This window comes from Homo sapiens, chromosome 11 (assembly GCF_000001405.40).
Source record: "Homo sapiens chromosome 11, GRCh38.p14 Primary Assembly".
Lineage (NCBI taxonomy): Eukaryota > Metazoa > Chordata > Mammalia > Primates > Hominidae > Homo > Homo sapiens.
In genome coordinates this window covers 75,015,792-75,025,075 of record NC_000011.10, presented here as the reverse complement: position 1 = coordinate 75,025,075, position 9,284 = coordinate 75,015,792, and the positions used below count along the sequence as shown (strand labels likewise).

Here is a 9,284-nt window from a genome sequence, read left to right as displayed (position 1 = left end):
TAATCTCCAGCCAACAGTCCCAGCTGCAGTGCTTTCATCATCCAATTACCGGAGTTGCTGGCACAATAAATCTTGGTCATACAAATGCAGGCAAATCTGCAGCTATTTTCATGGCCATTACTGTGCATAGGACATTGGGACTCAGGTCATTTGCCTTTCTGACATGGAGTCCTGCCCCCCACTCCCTATCTTCACCATCTTCTTTCATTTTTCAGTGGCAGCTGCCTCCCTCCCCCATCATCTCCCAAGCACCTGCTCCTCCCTTCCCCTCTCCCATCTTTATAAAGGCTGTAGGCCAAAGATCAGAAGACTGTGTGACCTCAGCCAAGTCAATTCTCTGACCTTCAATTTCTTCACCTATAAGACAGAAAAAGCATGATTGACCTTATAGGGTTTTGTGAAAACTAAATAACCCAAGTGCAGTATACATCTCACTGGTGGTAGGTATGACCTACTTCAGTGGTCTTTGCTATTTTTTAATAGGTATGTATATAATTTAATGTATATTAGGAAAGATAAATCAAACCAGTGATTTCATGAATATTATTCCTTAGGAGACCATGAATTAGGTATTTTCATAAAATATGCTAAAGAAAATTATTAAGAATCCATGGATTTAGCAAAAATCATGGAGGAGGCACATGCATGAGAGAAACTTGAGAAACGTTGACATAATGACTGCGTGCTGCTTGCCTTTATCACTATTTGCTCTGTTCTCCACTTTCCCTCAGTTTCTGCAGAGGGATGTGTGGTGCCCTACAGAAGAAGGGGACTCATTGTGTTCTGAGAGGCTAACTTGCTCTAGTTCAGGGCCCTTCATTCATGTGAGAACCACCTCCCTCCCCTTGGGGCCTGTCCCATGCAGGCCCTGTGCTGGGTGCTCGGAACACAGAGCTCAAACGACAGCCCTGCGTTCAGGAAACTCCCAGGAACTCTCCTCTGAATCTGGCAAGGGAGCTGTCACTACCTTTACCTGACAGGACGTATAGCAGGACTTTCCTTGAGTTCTGGATTTGTGGAATTGCAGTGAAGGCCCAAAGCTGAGGACAAGAGGCTCTAAGACCACACTCTGTAAAGAGAGACATGAAGGAGCGTACACGTGCACACACACACAAAGAGAGGACATAGGAGGGAAGGGGGGAGAAGTTGGGGTGGCCTTGTGAACACTGCGGTGTTTGTGCTGAGAGTCACTGCCATGATGGGGAATGGAGAATGTGCCCAAGCCCTGCATAGAAGCTGGGCGTGCCTGCCAGAAAGGGAGCCTCACCCTGGCATCTGGGCAGAAAGTTTGCTGTGCCGAGAACTCACAGGCCCACCCTGGGACTGCCACTGAGCAGCACAGAGGTAAAGGGGTATCCAGTGGCGGGAAGCCTGCTGAGAGGGTCTGGTCCATCCAGCAGAGCCTGAAGGGAACATGGTGAGTACTGCAGGAAGAATGCACAGGACTCTCTCCCAGTGTTTCCTGGCTGTAGGCAGGCATGGAAGATCATAGGAGTTTCCATGGCTCCATACAAAGAAGCACACAGATTAAAATAGGGGAAGGATCCACAGGGCTGTTCAGATGGCCTCAGACCAGGTAAGTCTGACCCCACCTAAACAAGAGGTTGGGCCCTGGGCCTCTGATGGGAGTCCAAGGAAAACTCGGCTGCCCATCTCTGAGTGAGGCTTGGCAACAGCAGGCACAGAGGAGAAACTGAACATCGTGCCAGGAAAGTCATGCCCACCAACTCCCAGCTAACAATAGGTCAGCAGAATTCACCAGCCTTGGAACCAGAAGCAGATCTCATGCTCACACGCACACACACATAGAACTTCCTCCTCTGTAAAGCCACCATCCCTCTTGGACATCAATTTCCCCTTGGGACAAAAGAGTTATAAAACTGCCTCAGGGCAGTTTTGAAAATCCAGGCAGAGACTGCTGTTCTGCCACCAACCATAGGCATTACTGCTTAAAATTCCAGGGTGCTTGTGGCCTGCAGGGAGTTGGGGGAGATTGCCACCTGGTGGTCAATGTTGGCAATGCCATGGAGCTTGCAGCAGAGTCGGGGACTGGGAGTCCTCAGGCTCAGAGCCAGGCCTGACTATCTGTATGACCTTGAGCAAGTCACTTCCACTCTTGGAGACTGTTTTCTCAACTAAAATGGGGAATAATGTTGCCAGCCTTGCAGAACCATAGTGAAGATTAAACCTACTGCACTACTGTGCCTGTCTTGAGCAGGGCCTCAATAAAGTTTTGATCCACCTGGGTCTTGTTCCCGCAGGATATGAGCAAGGGTCAGCTCCAGGAGACAGAGGGGGAGGTGAGCCACGCTCATAGAGATCCCCAGCTCCCCAGGTTTCTTTCACTGCCTGCCACCCAGGACCGTCTTTCTGTGTGTGTGGAACTGTTCTTAACCTAAACCTGGACAGCTCTTTGGATTCCAGATGTTCAGAACCGTGAAATGCTGACTCTAGAGTCTGGATCAGGAGAGCTCATTCCAGGCCTAGTTCTGTCACTAACTTGCTGTATAGCTTTAGTCAAGTCACCTGGTTAATATCTAAGCTTTGGTTTCCTCTTTTGTACAAAGCAGGTAATGATTCCTGCTCTGCCTTTCGGCTCTGCATTGTGCTATAACTCACTTCCTTACCCTCAACTCTTGAAGGAAAGTCTGTTACGTGCACATGCTTGCACCTGGTGCTTTGGGGAAAGAGGCAGCAAGGGCAGCATCAGAGCCTGGAGCAAAACAACTCAGTCACAGTCACAAGAATGCAATAGCAGCAGGAATTAAGAGTGAGAGGTGATCAGAATATAAGCTCCCAGGAACTCTCAGGCTCTTGGGAAAGACTCTATGCTTCGCCCAGAATATAGGATGATGACCTGCAAAATCTTTTTTTTTTTTTTTCTTGAGATGGAATCTCACTGTGTTGCCCAGGCTGGAGTGCAGTGGCGTGATCTCAGCTGCCTGCAGCCTCTGCCCTCCGAGTTCAAGCAATTCTCCTGCCTCAGCCTCCCAAGTAGCTGGGATTATAGGCACCCGCCACCACGCCTGGCTAATTTTTTGTATTTTTAGTAGAGAGGGGTTTCACCATCTTAGCCAGGCTGGTCTTGAACTCCTGACGTCATGATCCACCCGCCTCAGCTTCCCAAAGTGCTGGGATTACAGGCGTGAGCCACCGCACCCGGCCGATGACTTGCAACATCTTAAGAAACTGAGGGAAAGTGTGATTCCAGAAGGGTGGAGGAGCAGACAATCTGAGGACTTCCATATTACCCAGATCTCTGACTCACTAGAGGGACTGTTCTGGGATTTGTGGGACTGTTCGCTGGGAGCCTCACTCCCACATGGGAAGGACTGACTACGGTATTATTATCCATACCTATCCACCTGAAGTTGTTTCCAAGCCTTGGACAGAGCTGTGCAGGGCCCATGGTCTCCTCTGACTACTCCTTACAGATACCTCAGATTTTAGACTTTTGTCTTGCTAGCCCCAGGCAGTCTTACAGATAACATGTCCTAATCAAATTCAGACCCAATCTCATTTGGTAAAAGAGACCAAAATGATGAGTTCTCAACTCTGTACCCAATTCAGGTGACCCTCTCAGGCTTGGGGACAAACCTACTTGCCACTCGCCACTTACCCACAACTGCCCACCCTATCATTTTCACTTACATACACACTAATTCAACAAGCTCTGTGGGGCCCATACTCTCTGCCAGACCCTAGGCTGGGCACTGGGAACACAGAAAGGATCAGATGTGGTCCTTGTCCTTGAGGAGCTCACAGTCTAGAAAAGGAGCCATATATAGCAACAGAACATTCCACACAGAATGGGCAGTGCAACGTTAGAAGGGGCACAGTGGAAGGCCAGAAGTGGGGCCTACCTGATCTGGGGTTAGGGCAGGCTCCCCCGTGAATGGCACATTTAAGCTAGATCCTGAGAGGAAAAGGAGGAATTCTATCAAAGAAGGAGAAAGAGCATTTCAGACAAAGCAAGGTGTACACAGAGGCATAAATACTGTGACCTGTTCAGGAACATTGGGCTGTGTATGGAGGACTGTTGTGGAGATGGGGTAGAGAGATCAGGCCCTGAACACCCACATAAAGTCTTCATCCTTCTGGCGAAGGAGCCATTATGTGGGAGAATGGATTGGAGGGTGGCAGGGAGCTGGAGGAGCAGTGAGGACTTGCTTGAGCAGTCTTGACAAGATGTGGCAGGCCCACAGCCTTCACTGCCTCTAGGCCCCCTGAGTGGGTCACTGTGGTTCCTTCAGACACAAGAGAGACCCCTTATTGCCCCAGTCCCACTGACAGACTCTGCCTCCCAGGCCCACTGGCCCTGCCCAGACATGAGAGTGGTGTATTAGTTGTATTAGTCCGTTTTCATGCTACTGATAAAGACATACCCGAGACTGGGCAATTTACAAAAGAAAGAGGTTTAATTGACTTACAGTTCCACGTGGCTAAGGAAGCCTCACAATAATGGTGGAAGACAAGGAGGAGCAAGTCACGTCTTACATGGATAGCAGCAGGCAAAGAGAGGGCTTGTGAAGGGGAACTCTGCCTTATAAAGCCATCAGACCTCATGAGACTTGTTCACGATCATGAGAGCAGCATGGGAAAGACCTGCCCCTATGATTCAATTACCTCCCACTGGGTCCCTCCCACAACATGTAGGAATTTAAGATGAGATTTGGGTGGTGGAACAGCCAAATCATATCATTCTGCTCCTGGCCCCTCCCAAACCTCAGGTCCTCACATTTCAAAACCAATCATGCCTTCCCAACAGTCCCTCAAAGTCTTAACTCATTCCAGCATTTACTCAAAAGTCCACAGTCCAAAGTCTCATTCAAGACAAGGCAAGTCCTTTCCACCTATGAGCCTGTAAAATTAAAAGCAGGTTGGTTACTTCCTAGATACAGTGGGAGTACAGTCATTCCAAATGGGAGAAACTGGCCAAAACAGAGGGGTTACAGGGCCCATGCAAGTCCGAAATCCAGCAGGGCAGTCAAATCTTAATGCTCCAAAATAATCTCCTTTGACTCCCTGTCTCACATCCAGGTCATACTGATGCAAGAGGTGGGTTCCCATGTTCTTGGGCAGTTCTTCCCCTGTGGCTTTGCAGGGTACAGCCTCCCTCCTGGCTGCTTTCACAAGCTGACGTTGAGTGTCTGCAGCTTTTCCAGGTGCACGGTGCAAGTTGTCAGTGGATTTACAATTCTGGAGTCTGGAGGACAGTGGCCCTCTTCTCACAGCTCCACTAGGCAGTGCCCTAGTAGGGATTCTGTGTGGGGGCTCCAACCCCACATTTCCCTTCTGCCCTGCCCTAGCAGAAGTTCTCCATGACAGCCCTGCCCCTGCAGCAAACTTCTGCCTGGACATCCAGGTGTTTTCATACATCCTCTGAAATCTGGGCAGAGGTTCCCAAATCCCAATTCTTGACTTCTGTGCACTGGGAGGCTCAACACCACGTGGGGCAGGAACCATCACATATGCATTGTGCACACATTATGGGCTAATATGATTACTATAGGAAAAAATAATAATCAGGACAGCTCCCATGTTTTGAACACTGTGGAAGCTGCCAAGGCTTGATGTTTGCACCCTCTGAAGCCATGGCCCAAGCTCTACATTGGCCCCTTTCAGCCACAGCTAGAGCAGCTGGGACGCAAGACACCAAGTCCCTAGGCTGCACACAGCACGGGGACCCTGGGCCCAGCCCATGAAACCATTTTTCCCTTCTAGGCCTCCAGGCCTGTGATGGGAGGGGCTGTTATGCAAACCTCTGACATGCCCTGGAGACATTTTCCCCATTGTCTTGGGGATCAACATCCGGCTCCTCTTTACTTATGCAAATTTCTAGAGCCAGCTTGAATTTCTCCTCAGAAAATGGGATTTTCTTTTTTATCAAATTGTCAGGCTGCAAATTTTCTGAACTTTTATGCTCCACTTCCCTTATAAAATTGAATGCCTTTAACAGCACCCAAGTCACCTCTTGAATGCTTCGCCACTTAGAAATTTCTTCTGCCAGATACCTTAAATCATCTCTCTCAAGTTCAAAGTTCTGCAAATCTCTAGGGCAGGGGCAAAATACCACCAGTCTCTTTGTTACAACATAACAAGAGTCACCTTTGCTCTATTTACCAACAAGTTCCTCATCTCCATCTGAGACCACCTCAGCCTGGGTTTCATTGTCCATATCATTATCAGCATTTTTGTCAAAGCCATTCAACAAGTCTCTAGGGAGTTCCAAACTTTTCCACATTTTTCTCTCTTCTTCTGAGCCCTCCAAACTGTTCCAACTTCTGCCTGTTACCAAGTTCCAAAGTAGTTTCCACATTTTTGGGTATCTTTTCGGCAATGCCCCACTCTACTGGTACCAATTTACTGTATTAGTCAGGGTTCTCTAGAGGGACAGAAATAATAAAATAGATAGATATACAAAGGGGATTTTATTAACTCACATGATCACAAGGTCCACAGTAGGCCATCTGCAAGCTGGGGAGCAAGGAAAGCCAGTCTGAGTCCCAAAACTGAAGAACTTGGAGTCTGATGTTTGAGGGTAGGAAGCATTCAGCAAGGGAGAAAGATGTAGGCTGGGAGGCTAGGCCAGTCAAGTCTTTTCCCGTTTTTCTGCCTGCTTTATAGTCTAGCTGCACTGGCAGCTGATTTGATGGTGCCCACCCAGATTAAGAGTGGGTCTGCCTTTCCCAGCCCACTGACTCAAATGTTAGTCTCCTTCGGCAACACCCTCACAGACACACCCAGGATCAATACTTTGCATCTCTCAATCCAATCAAGTTGAGTCAGTTTTAACCATCACAAGTGGGAAGAAGGCAGGGAGGGGGAGAACAAGCTCACCTTATCTCCATCTGAAGCCCATTACACAAATGCATTCTAGATCCTCTCAATAAGCTAAGAGGTGAGAGTTGTTGTGCCCACTTTACTGAGGAAGAAAAGTAGGCTCAGAATTTAGTGAATTGCCCAAGGTCTCACTCAGTTAGTTAAAAAAGGCAGTGGGTGGGTGGGGAGAGAAAGGAAGGAGAGAGGGAAGGGAAGGCTTAAAAAAAGTGCTAAAACTTGAGTTAGAATGAAGACTTGTCACTTCTGCTCAAAGCTCCTCTTCATTGCAAGCATAACCTTAATTTAATTTTTCTCTCTTCACTAAGAGAGAAATGACATTCTCCTAAATGTCATTTAAGTGTTTTCCTCCCTACCTCCCAGTCTTGTCACTGAAAATAGATTTTACTAATTCCTACCCCAAAGACCAGAGGCCCCCATTGTTCAGTACAGAGGTCTTTTTCGAGAGTGGTCTAGAGTGCTCTAGGCAGGGCAGGCATATACTAGAGGCATCCCCCCATAGCCCTGAGAGAGGAGAACTCAGCCTGGCTCACAGGCCCAGGTCAACCTCTTTCAGACAGTGCAAGGAGAGCCAGCCTTTGGCCCCAATATCCCCAAAGAAGCCAGGCATGGACTCCTCAGCCCAGCATACTCAGGCAGCCATGATTAGCCTACCTCGGACACCCCAAATCAGGATTTCCCAAGGTCTACCCTGTGCTAATTAGAAAAGGTGCCCCTTCTGACAGTTGCAGCCTTATAATTGCAAGGGCTGGGAGCTCCACTCTTGGCTGGATTTCAGGCCTCATTTTCCCCTTGGCCAGATACTTCTGTATGGGGCACCAACAGTAGCAGCCCTGCTCAAACACATCCACCTATCTGAGCCGCTGAATCTGGAACCCATCCGTCCCTAGCTGGTGGGATCAGCCTCAGCACCTTAGCAAGTATAAGTGTGTCTGCCACCCCATCAAGCTCAGGGAAGTCTCACAAGGATCTGCCCCAACTCTGGGCCTAGTATAAGACCTATGCCCTCCCATTTGGAATGCCTGAAGCACTGGGATACTCACTGGCCTTGGAAGCAGACATGGAAGCCTACTCTCCCAAGAGTTGTAAGGACATTATAGCTTTCCTCCAAGTCAGCATCTTCATATAAGGGGTGGAGATTCTTGACTCTGGCCTCAAGATTTATCTTTCCTGTTAGGTCTTCCCTCACTGATTTCTACTGCCACCACCATTCTGGCCTTTGGGAGCCTCACTCTCCACTTTCAGGGCTCTAGGTCGGATGTGTTCACCCAACTATTCCTTACAGCCATTGACACAGCAGATGCCAGGCTAGAGTGTTCAGACCAGGCTTTAGAAAAGGTTTCTGAGTAGCAACAAAGAACACATTATGAACCTGGATGATTGGACTGGCAAAGTAGATCTTCCTCAGCTCCAGTCTGGGATTCTCTCAATGGCATCTTCCTGAATCCATGGCTCACTTTAACTCGGGCTGCTGGGGATCATCCTTAGGGTCACTTCAATGCCATAAAGCCAAATGAAAGGAGTGCATCAAGAAAGGCAAGAGTGTCCTATCCTACCCAGGACCTACCTTTGAGTTTCCAATTTTGAAGGATCTCTGCTTCTCCAAGTGATTAAAAATAGAATGGCCATTAATTCATTCAACAAATACTTAAGTCCCACTATGCTAGGGGATGGAATAATATGGTAAACAAACAAACTTGGCACCCACCCCTCAAAATTCATACCTGCCCATAGGACTTGGTGTTAACCCAAAATGCATGGCCTATAACCATAATTCAACTTCAAAACAGAAACCTGAGCTTTGAAACCAGGCACATAGAGTAGCAAGAAGGGCACTGCAGCTTCTTGACAATTTTCCAATGCCTTGACCCCAAAGAAATCTGAATCTGGGGTCGCTTAGGGGAGGGAGCTAAGGAGAGAGGTATCAAGAAACACAGGAGGACCTCTGTCTTTGGCCATAGTGTGGCCACCAAAGGCAGAACATGAGAGTCCAGATCAGACATAGGGTCAGGTTATTGTCTGGATGATGGGTACAATGAAGCCCCACAGTTTTCACCCTTGAATCTCATATTTGACCCATAAACCCATGGAGTTCAGCAATCTCTAGCTTGGCAACTGTCCAGACATAGCTTATGCTCTGTGCTCTGACCCTTGTTCTCCCCTTTGCAAGGATAAAAAGCCCCTTCCACACAGCTGAGTCCTTGGCAGCCCAAGTAACTCGAGGTCTCTTTGTCCACAGACTATCCAGTCCTCGGCTGAGCCCAGAGTCTTACAGACCAGCTGTATGGGTGGTGAAACATCCTGTGCCCACTTGTCCAGATCTGTGCTCATGCTATGATGTTACCTTTATTGGAAAGAATATCAGTAGGAATTCCAGGTAATTATTATGTCATGAGAAAGCTAAATTTCTGACCCAGGAAGGATACAGCTGACTGACAGACTAG

General features: G+C 48.2%; 1 protein-coding gene across 2 annotated transcripts in view; it reads right to left on the bottom strand.

Moving 5' to 3' along the window:
* Window positions 1-4,399: 4,399 nt before the first annotated feature.
* The window catches only part of NEU3 (neuraminidase 3), a 40,162-nt gene continuing 35,277 nt past the window's right edge, over window positions 4,400-9,284 (bottom strand). For both annotated transcript variants that reach the window (XM_047426303.1, XM_047426302.1), the window contains one exon: window positions 4,400-6,385. In XM_047426303.1, coding sequence (XP_047282259.1) covers window positions 6,350-6,385 — 36 coding nt within the window. In that variant the 3' untranslated portion in view covers window positions 4,400-6,349. The remainder of the gene's footprint in view (window positions 6,386-9,284) is intronic.